The 19,812-nt window shown below is 35.8% G+C and overlaps 1 long non-coding RNA gene across 1 annotated transcript in view, besides 1 other annotated feature; it reads right to left on the reverse strand.

Annotated features, from left to right (window-relative positions):
* Positions 1-19,812, reverse strand: part of LINC01414 (long intergenic non-protein coding RNA 1414) — a 511,616-nt gene that overhangs the window by 20,799 nt on the left and 471,005 nt on the right. The gene's annotated exons all lie outside the window — the stretch shown is intronic.
* Positions 10,116-10,860: an enhancer, noted in NCBI's record as "OCT4-NANOG-H3K27ac hESC enhancer chr8:64800414-64801158 (GRCh37/hg19 assembly coordinates)". NCBI's record gives its function as "activates a minimal SCP1, AML or CMV promoter by ChIP-STARR-seq in naive H9 embryonic stem cells {active_cell/tissue: H9 hESC(naive)}" and the evidence as "EXISTENCE:reporter gene assay evidence [ECO:0000049][PMID:30033119]".

Consider the following 19,812-nt stretch of genomic DNA (forward strand, 5'->3'; position numbering starts at 1 on the left):
AAGCTATAGAATCTTGGATTACCTCAACTTATGAAATCTCTAGATTGATCTCTCTATTTTTATATTATTTCCATGCAAGCCTACATTTCTTCTTCTACAGTGTCCATTAGAGCAAAGATTAATCAGACCACACACCAAAAAAAATTATTAGTATGGGTGATTTTTCTCAATTTTACTAAAAAGCAAACTATTGTTTTATAAGAATACAAATTGAATCCTCTTACTGCTATTCCAAATATTTTCACCCCTAGCTTTATGACCATCGAAAGCAACAAAATAAAAAACAAAAGCAGTTTTTACAGTTTAAATAGTGTCTTGTTAACTCTCTGGATAGCTTCATGGCCAATGAGCAAGAATTCTGAGAACTAAATTTAAAAAAATTAAAATTAAAATTGAAAATAGAATAAACACATTAAAAAAAACCTTTAAAGTCCAGGGAACATGAAATGGCCTTCTCTCCATATACAAAATATCAACACGGTTCTCGCTTCTGATTTGCTTTAATCACAACCCTAACAAAGGATTCTAAAATAATCTCAACCTTCACAAAAATTCAACCCAGAAACAATGTGGATGAGAAATTGTGTTCATGATTACACACAATGCGGAAAAAACCTTTGGTGAATACCTGTCACATGCATGAAGCTCTTCACCACTATTGTGGCATCCATGACAATTCAGAATAAAATAGGTCAGATAACCATCAGTCAATCACATTTTCCTTTCCTCCTGGGATCAGAAACATCCCAGCTTTCTCCCGCTGTCCTGAGCCTGATATCAACATCTCTTTTTTTTAACCTGCAAGATTGTGATTGAATATTTTACCCAGCTGTCAATACTTTTAGTAAAGAATGAGCTAAATAAATTAAATCAACAGATAAAAGAGCATATGAATGAATTAAGCAGTGCCCCCACTCATCACTATCCCTTCTGTAAATGACAGATTAGCTGCTCATCTAAAATCTGTCAAGCAAATGCTTTTAAAATCCAGATAAATTAAAAGAGTTATAAGACCTTCTTGTTAAATGGAGGTATATTACAACATTGTTTTGTAGATGTATTTATTAAACTCAAGTCTGAGGGCAACAATCTTGAATTTTTGAAATGAGAGTTTTCAAAATTATTATTTAAAAATATATATTTGTTCATTGTAATGGGATCCTTAAGTTCTACTCTCTAATGTTCTATCTTTCTTTTTCAGAACTTTAACTAGAACAGTTCATGGCTCATGTTTGTGTTTCTGTATTGCCTATCCAAAAGTGGTATTGCAGGATATTAAGAAGTGTTATGTTTTTAAAAGTCTTCTTGTTTAAGAAGGTCTTGAAATACTGAATTGTTATAAATAGGTTTCTTGTGAATTTGGAGACTTTAATAAATGCTATTTTACATTTGGAGATCTCCAAATGAAGGCCTAAAAAAGCAGGATATTCATAATGGTTTGATCTCAGAATCCTTTTATTTGTGGGAACATCCCAAGAAACTAGTGTTTAACCAAACACTTCTTGAGAAACTGCTCCCCCAAAATTCCATAAGCATGAGGCAGCCCAGAGTCCACTCAATAAGGGCACTAATCCCATCATGAGGCCTCTACCCTCAAGGCCTCCACCCTCACCTTCCAAAAGCCCTATTTCCAAATATCATTTCACTGGGGATTAGGGTTGCAATGTATGAATTTTAGGTGGACACAAATATGCATTCCCTAAGAGCTGTAGAGCATGATTTTTCTTCATTTACAAGTCTTCATGTCTGCCACGTATAAGATGTTATACTAGGAGTTGGGGGATGTAAGCATGGATATATAAGAGGAATAAAAGTGATAGACTACCTCCAGAGAGCTTGCAGTTAAGGAGGAGAGAGAAAACCTTTATAAAATTAACTATATAGTGTATTGCAGAACCTGCGATCTTATTTCCTACCTTCATGGAGATTTTAGCCCAGTAAGAGTGAATGACAATTAAACATGAACTCATAAAACCATGCACCAAGTGCTTTGATTGGGGAAATGTACACTGAAAGGATATCAAAAACAGGAGTAAAAGGACATGAGAGCCAGAGAAAAATAATCTTGAGACCTAGTCACAGCAGCTCTCCACCCACAGCTATTCACCTAACACTTTAAGCTTCAATTTACTCATAGGTAAAAAGAGAGGGTGGGAGTCCGTGACCTCAAGGCTCTTTAGCAATTCTCAGTGTCTAATCTATTTTGCTGTTCTGTATGTTTACAAAGGCAAGGTTTAAAGAATTGGAGCAGCCAAGAGAAGAATTAGCAAGCAATCTGCTTCAACATTGGTTTTGGTTCCTATTTATTTTATTATCAAACTTATACTAAAACAACTTTAGTAATTGTTTGAAACAAAGGATCATTACTCAGGAAGCAGCATCTCAGCTGTGTTATGATTAAAAGACTTTGAAAAGCTCAGGAAGTATAGTTTTCTCCAGCATTGTTTTTCTTTTCTACAAAAACCTTTTTGTGCAGGTTCAAGTGCAAGATTAGATACTAATTTGATTCTTTATAGTATAGACAGTCTTTAACACAGCACTGAGATATGGGCTTATCTAGAGAGACTGTTTTTGAAAGAAATGCTGCTATTCAAAGCAATAGGCCAGCTTTGTTTTTCTAAATTATTCAGAACAGAAATAACTGGTTGATTTGCTGATATGCAGATAAATATCAGGTATTATTTAGCCAGCGCCAACTTGCCTGAATGACTATCTTTCCACTACCCTGGGAGTAGTGAACCTAAAAAAAAAAAAAGGAAACTTTGTTTCCTACAGAGTAAATATTAGATGTTAGATCATACCCCTAGGACAGAAGAAAATTAGATAAGCTCTATTTTCTTGCACAAGAAGAAATGCACCCTCTTCAAATACTGATGGAAAGTCCTGTCTGGGTGGACCTGTCATTTTGAAAGTGGAGGTACTAAAAATGAAATAAATTACTACTTGGTTACAACTATAAGCAAGAACAATTCTCTAGTCATTTCCCAACTAGAAATAATGAAATCACAAATAACTTAGGAGAAGATGTAAAATTCAACTTTCCTTTCAAGTCCTGCTGCCTCTCTGCTTTTATCTCCACCTGGCCTTCTAAATTCTCTGGCTTTTCATTTGTACTTTGAAAACCTTTTCACTGAATTCACTATTTAAATTAAATAAAAATTCCAAGCAGCTATATCTGGTTTGGTTTTGGAATATCCTTTCCTCTGAGCTCCTTTTGGTTTTCTAATTTTAAGGTAAGTGTCCTCCCTGTCTTCAGCTTCCCAAATAGTTGACCCCTCGAACTATGTTTTCTCCTTTGATGCTAATGCTACCAGTTTCTCTACTGCCCTCCACTGAACCACTCCTGTTGCCTTTCATTCTTTCTACACTTTTATCTACTTTGTTCCTATTACTGCCAATGTAAAAATGAGACATGCCTCCCCCCTCACTTAATAATTCTATTCTCAAGTACATAATTATTTCTGTCTTTCCTTTATGGTGATCCACCTAGAGCAACCCTAGCTAATGCTGGCTAAGAAAACGTTCTCTTTTGAGTGTTATGCTAGAGATCATAGAAACGTGTCCATGTTAGCCCCTGTAGGAAGGACAAACTATCTCTGGAGGTTGTTGCTCAAAGAGCAGATTTTAGCTTTCACACATAACCTCACCACCCTGTTTGCCCTATTTTCCTCTATATGAAGAGCAAGCCCTTCCTACCTGTGACAAGGGCAGATGCTACTTTTGCCCATCAGCTTATCCTTGCTGTGTGTTTCTGTCAGCACTGCCAAGTTCTGGGCACCAAGTGGACGGAGCCCGCGGCATCTGCCACAGAGCTATAAGAACCCAGGCAGCAATATGTCCTTGTGGAGTGGAAAGACAAATCCAGGAGAGCAGGATAGATTCCATACCAACCCCAACCACCACCAGTGCCCTTCTCAACTTCCTATTACATTGAGAAACAGAACAGAAGCACAGGATGGAATATTTTCAATCACAGAGCTTTGTTGGAAGGAAGATTCCAGGTGGTAAGGGGAGATTTGAGCACCAAATAGACACAGGGTTAACCTTGCAGGTGGTCAGAGCAGGTGTACACCCACATGGTAAAATCTTAGAGGTCTTATAAATATTCCTAAGTCTAAAAGAAACATATAGAAAATGTTTAAAATACCCCTGACAGAGATCCAACCCTTTGCAGGTCTTCTGCTACCTGATAAAATGCAAAGTCCTCCATGTAGAAATATATTTGAAATGTATTCATCGGTATCACCTTGGTGCTAAAGAATTTACAGTTAGCTCCCCTAGTGAAATTCAGGATGTTTTTATTGTTGGTAAATTGAAAAAGAATTTTTCACCTGATCAATGAGGAAAGATGATAGGGAAAGGTAGAAAGGAAGGGCAAGGACACAAAAAAACTTTGCCAGGCAGACAACCTGGTACCAGTAATTTTTGGTGTAAAAAACAACGCAATTGGCAGTGCATTCTCCAAGTTCCGGTGTCTTGGTCCCGTTCTTATTCCACTCAAGTTGCATTAAGAACAAACATTGCCAGGGTATTTGACTTTTCTCTATTTCCATGGGATTCTAAATTTTTCTAAATCTGAACCCCCCGCCCCCGACAAATCCTACCATAGATAGTAAGTTTTACCTCTATATAGAAAAACATCATTTCCACTATTATAATTATATTACTCTACATAATTTCTTCAAGACTTTGCTTAATTATTTCTCAGAACTCTCTATGTTGCTAATTATGTAGAGTAATATGAATTTCACTAGGGGAGCTAACTGTAAATTCTTTAGCACCAAGGTGATACCGATGAATACACTTCAAAATATATTTCTTCCTGGAGTGCAGTGGCACGATCTCGGCTCACTGCAACCTCCATCTCTCAGGTTCAAGGAATTCTCCTGCCTCAAGCCTCCTGAGTAGCTGGGATTACAGGTGCGTGCCACCATGCCCAGATAATTTTTTTTTTTTTTTGAGACAGAGTCTCATTCTGTTGCTCAGGGTGGAGTGCAGTGGCGCAATCTTGGCTCACTGCAGCCTCCACCTCCCGGGTTCAAGCAATTCTCCTCCCTCAGCCTCCCAAGGAGCTGGGATTACAGGCACGCACCACCGTGTCCAGCCCAATCTCTATATTTTTAGTAGAGGCGGGGTTTTGCCACGTTCGCCAGGCTGGTCTCAAACTCCTGACCTCAAGTGATCCGCTCACCTCGGCTTCCCAAAGTGCTGGAATTACAGGTGTGAGCCACTGCAACAGGCTGATAGTATTTCAATTTGAGATAAAATTAACATAAGATTTATCAGTTTAACCATTTTCAAGTGTACATATTGATAGTTTTAATTGTACTCAAAATGCAACCATCACCAGTAATTTCATAACACTTTTACCCCACAGAAACTCTGTATTGATTAAACAGTTTGTCCTCCATTCTATCTTTGTGATAGTTAATTGTATGTGTCAACTTAACTGGGCCATGGACATCCATGTATTTGGCTAACCATTATTTTCGATTGTGTCTGTTAAGGTGTTTCTGGATGAGATGAGCATTTGAATCAGGGCACTCACTAAATCAGATTAGCTTCCCTAATGTGAGCAGGTATCTGCTGATCTATTGAGGGTCTTAATGGAACAAAACACTGAGGAAGAAATAATTCTTCCCTTTCTGCTTGACTGCTTGAGCTGGAACATTGGCCTTCTCCAGGCCTCAGTCTAAAATTCACACCATTGTCTCTTCTAATTCCGAGGTCTTCAGATTTGAATTGAACTACTCCACCAACTTTTCTGGGTCCTCAGCTCACAGATGGCAGATCGTGGGAGTTCTCAGCCTCCATAATTGCATGGCCAATTCCTCATAATCTCTCTCCATGTATATATGTAGAGAGACAGAGGGAGAAAAACATGTATAGATCCCATATATATACATTATATAAGATACAGTTAGACATATTGTATGTATGTGTACACACACAATACGGGTTGAGTATCCCCCAAAATGCTTGGAATCAGAGCATCTCAAATCCGCAAATCTGAAATCCAAAATGCTCTGATGAACATTTCCTTTGAGCATCTTGGTGGCACTGAAGAATTTTTCTATTTCAGAGCATATTTTACATTTTCATATTTGGAATGCTCAACCTGTGTGTATGTTATGTATTTTACAAGATATCTATCTATCTTATGTCTATCTACCTATCTAATATACTACAGAATATATACATATGTATAAATATATAAAATATATACTTATATAAGTATATAGGTATATAAATAAGTATATAAATAAATATACTTATATAAACTAATATATATTACTTTATATAATATATATTTATATATTTATAACATATATATTTTATATACATATATGTATTTATATACATATATACGTATTTATATATACGTATTTATATACACATATACGTATTTATATATACTTATATAAGTATTTATATGTACTTATATAAGTATATATCTCCTATTGGTCCTGTTTCTCTGAGAAACCCTAAGATATCCTTCCTTATATTCTTTGGCAACTACTAATCAATTTTTTTGTTTCTATTAATTTGCCTATTCTGGACATTTTATATAAATGGAACCATACAATATGTAATCTTCTGTGCTGGCTTCTTTGAGGCTCAGTTATATTGTAGCATACATCAGTACTTCATTGCTTTTTATAGCTGAATAGTAGACCACTGTATGGATAGATCATTTTGTTTATTCATTCCTCAGTTAAAGGACATTTGGGCTCTTTCCACTGTTTGGCTATTATAAATAGTGCTGCATGAACATTCAAGTACAAGTTTTTGTTTGGACAACTGCTTTCATTTCTCTTGGGTATATATGTAGAAATAGAATTGCTGGGTCATAAGGTAATTCTGTGTCCCAACATTATGAGGAATCACTAACCTGTTTTTCATAGTGGCTGTACCATTTTACATTGCCACCAGCAATGCATGAGGTTTCCAATTTCTTTACATCCCCATCAACACTTGCTATTTCTCAGATTTTTGAGAAATATAGCCATATTAGTGGATATGAAGTTCTATCTCATTGTGGTTTGTTTCCCTAATAATTAATGGTTTTAAACATCTTACCATGTATATAATTAGCCATTTTTATATTTTTTGAAATTATTTATTCAAATTATTTGCCCATTTTAAAATAGCGTTGTTTGTATTTTTGTAATTAAGGATTCTTTATGTATTCTGTACACTAGACCCTTATCAAATATATGACAAGCAAATATTTTCTCCCATTTCACTTTCTTCATAGTATTGTTTGATGCACAGACTTCTTAATTTTAATGAAGCACAATTTATCTCTCTGTCTCTTTTTTTTTTTTTTTTTTTTTTGGCTGCTTTTAGCATCATACATAAAACACTGTTTCCTAATCTAGGGTCATGAGAATTTTCATTTATACTTTCTTCTGAGAGTTTTACATTTTTAGCTTTTAATTCAAAATCTTTGATACATTTTGAGTTAACTTTGGTATATAGTGTAAGGTAAGTGTCCAAATTCATTCTTTTAAATATGGACATACAGTTGTTCTCGTACTATTGGTAGGAAAGACTATTCTTTCCAACATTTTCATTTGATAATCTTGGCACCCTTGTCAAAAATCAATTGACCATAGATATATGGATTTATTCATGGATTGTCAATTCCATTCCACTGATCTCTTTATTTATCCTCAGACCAGTACCACACTGTTTTAATTATTGTAGCTTTATTTTAAGTTTTGAAATCAGGCACTATGAGTCTTTCCACGTTGTTTTTCTTTTTCAAAAATGTTGACTATTTGGGAAAACTTGCAATTCAGTATAAATTACAGAATTAACTTGTCCATTTTTTGCAAAATGGCATTTGGAATTTTGATAGGCATTGGACTGAATTCATAGATCAATTTGCAGTGTATTGCTATCTAAATAATATTAAGTATATCAATAATGAACACAGGATGTCTTTCCATTTATTTAGGTTTCCTTAATATCTTTCAAAAATATTTTTTAGTTTTCAGTTTATGTGTCTTGCATTTCCTTATTTTAATTCATTTGTAAGTGATTTTTATGCTGTTATAAAGAGAACTGTTTTCTTAACTTTGTTTTCAAATAAATCATTGACACTACATAGAAATAGAACTTACTTTTGTGTGTGGATGTTGTATCAGGCAACTTTGCCTAATGTACTTATCAGTCTAATAGTTTTTTTGCAGGGTTTTTTTTTTTTTAGTTTTATACATATTGTCATGGCACCTGTGAATAAAGATAGTTCTATTTCTTCCTATCCAATCTGGCTGACACTTATATTTTTTCTTGTCTAATTGCCCTTGCTGGAACTTCTGTATAATATTGAATACATATGTTGAGAGTAGATATCTGTCTTATTCTTGATCTTAGGGGGATAGCTTTCAGTATTTCACAGTTAAGAAGGATATTAGCTTTATATTTTTTAACAAATGCCCTGTCTCAAGCCTGAGGAAGTTTCCTTCTACTCTGAGTTTTCTGAGTCTTTTTATAACGAAAGGACATTAGATCTTGTCATTTTCTCTATCAACTGAGATCATCATGTTAGTTTTTCCTTTTTCTGCCAATATGGAATATTATATTGATTGGTTTTCTTATGTTTAACTTAGGATAAATTCCTTGGGTAAATCCCATTTGGTCATGGGGTATAACCTTTGTCGCATGCTGCCAGACTCAGTTTACTAGTATTTTTAGAATAATTTTTAATACATTTACAAGTGATCTTTGTGACCTTTTTGTCTGGCTTTGACATTAGGGTAATGCTGTCCTAATAGAATGAGTTCAGAAATTTTTACCTCTTCTTTATTTTTTGTTAAAGTTTGAGAAGTATTTCTTTGAATTCTTTAAATGTTTGGTATAATTCACCAGTGAAGCCACTGAGTCTTGAGTCTTTTGATGTTGTTGATGGTGGTTTTTTTATTATTGACTCAATAAATTTACTTTTTATAGGTCCATTCAGATTTCCTACTTATTCTTGAGTCAGTGTTGGTATTTTGTATGTTTCTGGAAATTTTTTCATTTCATTTAGGTTACCTAATTTGGTGGAATACACTGGTTCATGTATTGTTTTATAATCATTTCATTTCTGTAAGGTGGGTAGTAACATCCTCAATTTATTTCTAATTTTAGTAAATCAAGTTTCCCTGTTTTTCTTGATAAGTCTTATCAAATATTTGTCATTTTTTAACCTTTCAGAGAAACAACTTTTGGTTTTATTGAGTATCTTTATTGTTTTTCTATTCTCAATTTCATTTATCTCTGCTCTAATATTTATTATTTTTTCCATCAGCTTGCTTTGTGTTTTTTGCTCTTTTTCTTTTATTTTCTTAAGGTGGAACCTTAGGTTATTAACTTGAGAATCTTTATTTTCTTTTAATTTAGGCATTTACAGGTTTAGATTTTCCTCTGAGAACTGCTTTACTATATCCTATAGGTTTTGGTATGTTATCTATGCTTTTTATTCCTTTCAAAGCATTTACTAATATTCATCACAATTTCTTCTTTGGCCCACTGAGTATTTAAGAGTATACTGTTTAATTTCTACGTATTTGTGAATTTTCTAGATTTTTTTTTCTTATTGATTTCTAATTTCATGTGGTCAAAAAAGTTACAATACATGATTTCAATCTTTATAAATTGAGATTTGTTTTTTGTCCCAATAGATCCTGGATACTATTTCATGTACTTTTCAGAAGAATATATATTATCCTGTTGTTGGGTAGAGTTTTCTATATGTGTGCTAAGTCTAGTTGATTTATTGTGTTCTTCAATTATTACATTTCCTTGATCTGTGCAAGTTTTCTTGCTCTGTCGCCCAGGCTGCAGTGCAATGGCACCATCTCGGCTCACTGCAAGCTCTGCCTCCCGGGTTCACGCCATTCTCCTGCCTTAGCCTCCCTAGTAGCTGGGACTACAAGTGCCCGCCACCATGCCCAGCTAATTTTTTGTATTTTTAGTAGAGACGGGATTTCAGTGTGTTAGCCAGGATGGTCTCGATCTCCTGACCTTGTGATCCGCCGGCCTCAGCCTCCTAAAGTGCTGGGATTACAGAAAAAAGAACATTTTTTTAAAAGTCTTGCCATAGTACATACGAAAGTTGTGATCAAACATTTTCCCAGAAGTTTAAAAACCTAATAAAGTAAATAGTTTATAACCGAAAAGCACAAAAGAGAGGTATAAATTCTCAGGGAAGAAATGGCAATCAGCAGAATATAAATTAGAGGACATCAGTAGAGGACAAGAAATAAGTAAAACAAAAATAAATTAATATAGACACCAATAGCCTTCATAAACAAAAACAACAGCCACTTTGGATATGTGGTGGATGAAAAGTCTACAGTACCAGTGGTGGCAATGTGTATGAAATAGGACAGATTGTAAAAAGAAATATTTATGATATTCTTTAAAAATTGCTAAATATAAATCAAAGGGAAAAAACAAAAGTAGAAAATGTCAGGCCTCTGAGCCCAAGGTAAGCCATCATATCCCTTGTGACCTGCACATACACATCCAGATGGCCGGTTCCTGCCTTAACTGATGACATTTCACCACAAAAGAAGTGAAAATGGCCTGTTCCTGCCTTAACTGATGACATTGTCTTGTGAAATTCCTTCTCCTGGCTCATCCTGGCTCAAAAGCTCCCCTACCGAGCACCTTGTGACCCCCACTCTGCCTGCCAGAGAACAACCCCCCTTTGACTGTAATTTTCCTTTATCTACCCAAGTCCTATAAAACGGCCCCACCCTTATCTCCCTTCACTGACTCTCTTTTCAGACTCAGCCGGCCTGCACCCAGGTGATTAAAAGCTTTATTTCTCACATTAAAAAAAAAAAAAAAAAAAAAAAAAAAATCTAAAATTTTACTACGGGATCCAGAAGGAAACTTAAGCCAATGGAAAGTATCTTTCTTTCTTGGAGTATTCCCTATCATACATTGTATTCACATTGACATACAGACGTGGGTCCTGCCTAAGTTAATATATAAAGTTAATATGACCACTAAAAAAACCTGGCATTTTTTTAATTAGACAAGATGATTCTTAAATTCATATAGAAACCTTGAACAAGCAATAACAACCAAAACACTCTGAAGAGCCGTGAGACATGGTTTGCCCTACTAGGTATCAAAACGTAGTATAAAACGGTAACAATTAAAAGAGTTTTGCACTGGCACACGAATATACAAATCAAAGGACCAGAATAGAAAACGTATCAGTGGACTCATACATAAAACAATTTATGATACAATTAATATTTCAAAACAGGAAAGCAATAGTATTTTTAAAATAGTAGAAAAGCAATAGGACAGAATAGCTGTTTGGGAAAATAAACAAAAAAGAAACTGGATTTTAGCTCCACTTTTTATTCATAAGATATATAAAACATATAAATGTAAAAACAAAAATGCAACCATAAATTACAAGAAAAAAATTGGAAAAATGTTTTAACTCCAGGAATGCAAAGGCTTTTCTAAGTAAGAAATAAATCTCTGAAGTCAATAAAACAAATGATTGATTAAATTGACTATATACAAATAATTCTTTTATGACTCAAAATAAATAAAGTCAAAAGACACATGCCAATCAGAGAAATAAAAATTACAATTTACATAATACCAAAGGGCTAGCCCCTTAACATGGAAAATGCTCCTACAAATCTATAAGAAGTCTGATGAAACAATGGAAAGAAGTAGAAAATATAACAAGCATTCAGGGAAAAGAAACATTTCTTAGCTTAATTATATAAAAATTGATATTAAAAGTACAATGAGATATTATCTTCAACTCAGATTGGCAAAGACCCAAATGTGCATTGGCAGAGTCCAAAAATGTTCTTTGTGGACAAGGGTGGGGGAAACACTCACACATTGTTGGTGGGGACATAAATGAACACAGCCCCCTGTAAAGGACAATTTGGCAGTAAAAATTAAAAATCAAGATATTTTAAAACTCAGGATTCCATTTTCAGAAATTCATGTAACTGAAACATTCACTGATATGTAACATGACATGTAAGACATTATGCATGGCAAATGACTTGCAACAACTTAATTATATAATTTAATTGAAGAATGGTCAGATAAATTTGTTACACTCATATATGGGAAAAGCTATCAGCCATTTAAAAAGAATGAAGCCATGTTTTATAAACTGATATAAAAGAGGTACAAAATGAAGTGACGAAAAAACAAAACAAGATGTTAAATAATCCATTTAGTAAGCTGAAACTTCCATGAACAAAATGAAAAAAAAATAGATATTGTTATTACCCTTATTTACATAGAATAAGTCTGAAAGCCTACTCAAGGATGCAGCAGTAATGGTGATTTCCAGAGAGAGAGGAACCTGAATGCTGGGTAACTGGGGGATGAAAGGACTTTCTTTCACAAAATATTTTGTACATTTTGAGTTTTATTTTTTTATTTTAAAAAGAAAAGGATTGTGTAGAGAGCAGCATTGCATAGTGGGAGACAACACAGACAGGAAGCTAGAAGCCAGAAAACCTGGATCCAAGCTGGACTCTGCCAGTTCCTGGCCAGGTGAGCTTGGGCAAACTACTTGACTCTGTGGCTGATTTTCCTTATTTTTAAAATGGGAATAATAATACTGTCTACCCTATAAAGCTGTTATGAGAACAAAAGTAATTAATACTCATAAGGCAGCTAGAAGAGTGCCTGACATAGAAAAGTGTTTTATTATTATTATTTATTAAAATAATAGAATAAAACACACACACAGACACAGGCACAGCCTGTGTCTGCAGTAAAGCAAGGTCGACTGGATTTAGAGTCCTAGGAGAGTTCTTTAGAAAAAAAGAGAAGTCAAGTGGAATCTAAGGCCAGGATTGAGTGTCTAGGACAGCAGCCAGAGAACTTCTGAAGGAACAAAGTTAGTTGTCAGCTTAGTTTTTGCTAATTTTGTCGTATAGTTGCTGTTCCAAAGGAGGCCAAACAGGCACACATAACATCAACACCACAAGGTGCGGAAATACTTAGGATTTAAGGAGAAAACTGTACTAACTGAGAAGCAGAAAAGCATCCAAGATCACCTAGCTCTGATGGTCACAGCATAGTCAAGCCAGGTACGCTGGGCAGACTGTACCACAAACAGGGTTCCGGGAGAGAGACCCAGCTTTCAGAGCAGCAGAATACGCAGAGTGAAAGTCCCGGTCCACAGAGCTTCTGTGACTCAGCCTTTAGTATCAGCAATTCTCCCATTGAGCTAAGTCACATCCACTGAGCCATCTTTTGGCTGAGTTACTGAGTAGGATGTAAATAGGCCTCTCAGGCCATCAAGATTTGTCTGTCTGTGATATTGTGTTACAATTTCAGATCCCTTTTGCATCTGCTGGAAAGGAAGTACAGAACCAGATGCTAGTGAGGGTGGAAAGTTCTTTATGTACAATCTCGTGTCACTTACTTTGATACATTTGTCGAATTGGTGAGTGGCCATAGTGAAGTCGCATTGAGATATTTAGCTAGAGTTTAGATTTCATCTTGATTTTTCCAGAGATACCTGCACAACTCTTCTGATCCTTTGTGATGTTAAATTCAACAGAAGCTGCCACTTTTTATAGTTACACTATTAAATCAGAAGCACGTCTCCATCCACAGGCAAGCATTTAAAAAATAAAATAAAATTAACCCATCTGAATGTCCTGTGCATATATAGATTCATGAAAGATTTGCTGGGTAAGATTTGTTGTGAGCTAGATACTCTGCAAAAGTATTTTCTCACCACATGCTCCCTTACAGAAAAGGGAACGTAGAGGATGGAGCACGAATTCGACTCAGTGATCTTGCTCTGAGTTGAAGCTTGGATTGACCACAAAATTGCTCTTAATTGCTTTCCCTGCTATTGATCAAAAGGATAGACTCTCAATACTTTCTTTTTACTCAAGCATTTCCAATCCTTGACACCTTTTTCACACAAATACAGTGAATGTCTTTTTTTCCTTTCTTATTTTTTTGGCTATTTTCTTCACCACTTTGTTATTAGTTAATAGTTATTACACTGTTTTTTTAATAGAACAATAATATGTTCATTTAGGTCTCATTTCTACACTAGCCTCTCTTTTTTTCTCTTCCTAAATCAAAGTTACCACACCTATTGCCTCAAATTGTCTCTTTTTATTAACATAGGCAGAGACAGATAGACATCTGTGACTCAGGAGAAAGAGAATTGTTCATAAGATTGAAAAGAGCAGATATTCTTAGCATAGAATAACAAGAAAATAAGTTTTCATCTTTTACCTTCTTTCCAACTGTATGCTTCAACACATTCACCTCCCTTAATATACAATCTGGTTTGGCTATTCAGCAACTATTTGAACCAGCAAATTAAAATTCTTAGTTTCTAATCAGTGGTGGAACTTATGTGGTTTGGTTTTTTATTTTTATTTTTTTGGTGATTTTGGGGATCTGTAAAGAGTTCTATTGGATTATTATAGAAATTGCTGTTTGAAGCTTTCTTAATCTGGAAAGAAGTGGCTATGAATAAGGATGCACCAGTCACTATCAATTTTTCTCAAGCTGGTCCATGCCTGTTTATCCTTTTGCTGTATGTGATGACACGCATTGCAGTCTATGTGAAAATGTCCTATCTGCCAGTAGGAAAAGCTTAATAATTTATTTGCAGTTCATCTTCCTCTAGACAAGTGCATGCTGTGTATTTGCTGAGCTGTGTAACTGGCTCTCAGAGCAGGCACATGGTCGGCTGCAAATGGTTCTTCTTGACATCTTTCCATTTTTCACGGTATTGATATTTAGCCCCTGAATGCCTGTTCTGCATTTTCAAAACAAAGCAGAAGTGAGGAATCAATTGTGTGTTGTTGGGAGGAAATGTCATGACCCTGATTATAACTGTTGCTTTTGAAGGAGAAATTATAGATGTGAAATTTGTCAACATCAAATCCAACACATAGTACATCTAATTCAAAAGGGCGTTCTCTTCTGTGGGTAAGTTCTCAGAGTCATCAAGGCTCAACCAAAAAGGAACCCTTCAGTCATTCTCTGTACTGTGGTCTCTTTGTACCTATGCTAGGAGAATCCTGGGGGCTCCTTGTATTGAATGAAGGGAAGATGTATTCATAAAAGGACCTAGATTAATCTGACTTTGAAGAAAAGTTAAGAAAAGTATTGGATTTGTAAAGGTTTTTATTTGTCCCGATTTTTTTTTTTAAACTAACTCTGCACCCATTTGTAAACATCTTAGAAGTTACCAATGTAATGATGTTTTGCTCCAGCATGGAATGCAACAACGACAAACAAACACTCACCTACAGGAAGTCAATTTAGAAGCTACCCAAATAACCTCATATTAAGGCCTCTTTAGTCTCAGAGCTTAGACTTCAAGGGCAACATTATGAGCTTCTATGTTCTCCACCTTCTGTTTTGTCTTCCTGAGACAATAAACTCCACAAGGCTCTGATGTACAATGCCTGCCTGTGGGAAATCTAGCACAGCCCCTGGAAAATAAAGCCAGAAAAAAAACTAAAAGAACTACCTAAGCATATAAAATTACTTATGGGGCTGGACACAGTGGCTTATGCCTGTAATCCCAGTATTCTGTGAGGCTGAGGCTGGTGGATGGATCCACTTGAGGTCAGGAGTTTGAGACCAGCCTGACCTACATGGTGAAACCCCATTTCTACTAAAAATACAAATACAGGCGCCTTTAGTCCCGGCTACTGGGGAGACTGAGGCAAGAGAATCGCTTGAACACAGGAGGCGGAGGTTGCAGTGAGCCAAGATCACACCATTGCACTCCAGTCTGGGCAACAGAGTGAGACTTCATTTAAAAAAAAATACTTATGGAATGTTGTGATTAGTACGACCTTGGTTTTATTCAGAACTCATGGCTAGTGCTTATTTTCATGGCTCAGAGGAATTACTTGGCAGAAAAAAATTTCATCCTTCCTCCCACCTATTTTCTGCAGAGATTTCACACATTGACTAAATTTAATATCATGCCACACTGAAATGCATGATGTTTGAAACTCCTCCATGATCTCTGTACAGAGTACTAAAGAACAAGAGGCCAGTATTTTTTTCTGAGCTGAAATTTAGTTTAGGTTTTGTGCTTTTATAGTCAGTTTTAGGACATCATATAATTACATTTTTATATGAATCACTTTATGTGAATCACCTTTGGGTGACATTTTGATGTCCTTTAGACAAAGTCCTAAAGTGTGGCTTCTACAGTCTGCTGTGCAACTGACGCAGGTATTTTTTATCATAAGTACCTTTCCTTCAAATATTTGGTCCTACATATTCATGTTCTATGCAACATTTAGTTCTTTTTAGTCATTGCATATAAAGAAAACAAAATAGCTCTAACACTGTGAAAGGCAAATGGCCCTGCTTATATGCCCTGTTTGAATACTTGAAATCCAACCCAAAGACAGTTCTTCCTCCTGTCTGGACCACTTGGGCCCTTGATGGAAGCCCAGCAGAGCCTGTTTAGAGAGCATGGAGCCATCTTCTGCTGAATCATGAGAGGAAACTATGGTAACCCAATGGAGTTCTTTACAACTGGTGTCGTGAGAGCACAGGCAGAAAACACATGGTGGGAACATAGATGCATCAAGTAAAAGCTCTCAGCAAAGACCTCAATGAGTTTAGAGAGTGATGGGACAGAACGTGCTATCCATTAGATGTGAAAACAGTAAAGTACACAAGAGAAAGAGAATGAAAAGGTGGGGTGAGGAGACAAATGCATAATACTAGGAAAATATAAGTAAACTGTTTCAGTTTGGATAATGGACAGTTATACTTATATCCAAACTGTTTCAGTTTGGATAATGGACAGTTATACCAACCCCTGCCCCAAAAAATTCCACATGAAGTGTCAAGACAGTGAGGGGTCTGAGATTTTTATCCTAGCTACACCTAACCAGTTAGTCTGCTGCTTTTATGCATCCTAGTGAGGCAGGATTTTTCTTCTCAGTCATTTTGAAAGCCAGGGACCCCCAGCTGGTGACCCCCCGGCTTAGGCCTCACTCAGGCACACTGGCATCCCCTAGCTCGCCTGTGTTATAGCTTGTACCCACATTCAGTGGTTCCTGAGCTCTTGTACTGTGCCCAAGAAGAATGAGGATATGCTGGACATTGAAGGGTGAGGAGGGCGAAGATTTTACTGAGCGATGGAACAGCTCTCAGCAGAGAGGGAACGCAATGGGGTGGTCCCCCACCTGAAGACGGGAAAGGCTCTCAGGTGGCTGGGTCCAGGGCCCTTTATGGACTCAAAATGGGGAGAGTGTGCTGACTGGTTTGTGAGTGTACAAAGAGGGTTAAAGCGAAGACACCAGTCAGAGGTGGGCACGACAGTGTAGAAAACCAATTAGGAAAGGGTAGGTATAGGTAAAATATGTGAAGGGTGGGGATGAATCAGAGGAAAGTGCGTCAATCAGGAAGACAAGTTCTCAATCCAGTCTGAGGATTTAACTCGTAGCTTGGCTTTTAGGCTTTAAACTATCTTTGGCTTGGAGGTAGAGTTTCACCAGGACCCTCTCCTATCTGCCTAGGCATTTGGCTGCCTCCTGTCACTATCACTAGGACGTTGTTACTCAACACACAGCAGCAGCATGAGCTTCATGTTTGACCCCTCTTGTCCCCCTTCAGGGTGACAGACAGATATTGCACATACAGTGGGTTTACATCACAGCTAAGGAATCCTGAACTAGGAAACCCAAATCTTTCATCAAACAGACTTTCCCAACACTGGCCCCAGAGGAACACATTATTCTTACCATACTATGCAGGAAATATAACTGCGCTCTGTTCCAGAGGGAGGCACCATATCTATGGAAAAACAAATAAGGTGAACTCTCCTTCTAAATAAGCAGTTTTCCTCATTTCACTTTTGTCACTGCTGTCTTCTCCACAGTTACCTTAACAGCTTGCATAGTTCCTGCAACGTCTTCTTTGTGGGCAGATACTCAGCAAAAATATGCAATATAAAGCCATAAATCTTTGACAGTTTTCATTCTTTCTGCTGTAATTGACATTTTAGCTGAACACTTGGTTTCTTCTAGACTCATTGTGTCACCTCCTATTCCCCAAACGGTAAGGAAATATATTTTAGGCTTCTCATTTCAAATAAATTAAGTTTTACACACATTATATAACATGTTTGCTAATAAATCACTTGGGTTATTATATGAAATACATTTTCCCCTAGGCAATGTGTTAATTTCATGATCATGGTAGACAAATGTATTTGTTTTTAAAGTACTGACTGACACATCTATGTTATCTCGTAAAAAAGACAAATGTTATTCTTTTCTTGAATTGTACATTTGAACAATGGTAAAATTGAAATCAATGCTACTTTTAATGAAATCAAATTACCGAATGGTGGTAACATCCTGAGGCAGCCCACCCTAAGCATAGGGAGTGAGATAGATGAGTCAACAAGTTTCTCACATCCTTATTTTGTAGCACACTCTATTAGCAACAGGAGGATAATGAACTGGTTCAGCAATTAGAACTGGTAGGTGCATCAATAAAAGTGTTTAGTAACTACTCCATGGTGAGCAATGCTCTCTGAAACCAGAAACTGACAGTGGGGGTTAGAGGCTAGTCATCTACCTCACATAAATAAATGTGTAATGTCAATTGGACAGAAAAAAAGTTACAAGAAATTGTTCCTCAGCATGAGCTTTGAGAAAAACACTACCATGATCATCACTCACGAAAAGTTACTTAGAGTGGTTTCCTTAAAAATACACACACACACACACACACACACACACACACACACGAAAAAATACATATAATTGATACATTTCTTGACTAAAAGAAAAAAGTCTTGATACCTTAGGGCCATTAGGTCTAGAATCTCCATCATTAACACTGATTCATTTTGCTTTCATGTTTAGTGCTGAAAATTCTGAGGTTGATTATTAGCTTAATCTTATTTACATCAAAGATGTTTCATGGCTCCTATGGCTTTAGAATTTAAGATATTCATTTGAAAGAAATAGGTAATATGAATTGAAATTAATAAAACGATGTTTTCAAACATCTATTTTATGTAGCACATTAGTTTAAAAATGTGTTCTTTGGATTGAATAAATACACTGAAATTCAGAAAGATGAATCCTAAATGTAACTACCAAATATTGCAGGAAATGCTATGGATCAAAGAGAAATATTTTCTTCAAAGATTTCCCAGTACTTTAAAATATCAAAAAATACAGCTAAGGCAGTTAAACATATAATATGAGAGGCCAGAATGTTATCACGTATAGGGTTCTTGCTAGTCATTATTATCTTATCCTCACATGAAACTCTAAATATCAGTAGTTCTCCGCTTTTTATAACCAACGCAGGCAAGTTGTTACACATATACCTGTGTCCAAAAAGTGTAGCTTATGAGCTTTCTTAGTAATATATGAAATAATGAATTTTACTAAAATTAATTGTATTTTTGTCATTTTTGCAAAAAATTTGAAAAAAAAGTTTGAAACATGTTCTAATCAAAGGGCAAAAGCTATGTTTATTTTGTTCACTTCTGTTTACTCAGATGACATGTAACAGGAACAAACTTTGTTACTTGAATTAATGTAGTGTCTATTTTGTGTCAATAGCTTTCCATTTAGAAGTAGGCACATTTTAAAGGCATCTTTTTTTTTTCAAGTAAATATTTTCATCTGAAACCTTGAATCTAGTAATACCAACAGATCAAACAGTTCCATATTTCTTTCTACTAATTGTTTCTCCAAATGCATATTACTGTAATTTGAATAGGCTTACTCTTTATAACATATTTTCATGAAAACACCGTGAAAGAATTACTGTTTC

Source organism: Homo sapiens, chromosome 8 (genome assembly GCF_000001405.40).
Source record: "Homo sapiens chromosome 8, GRCh38.p14 Primary Assembly".
Lineage (NCBI taxonomy): Eukaryota > Metazoa > Chordata > Mammalia > Primates > Hominidae > Homo > Homo sapiens.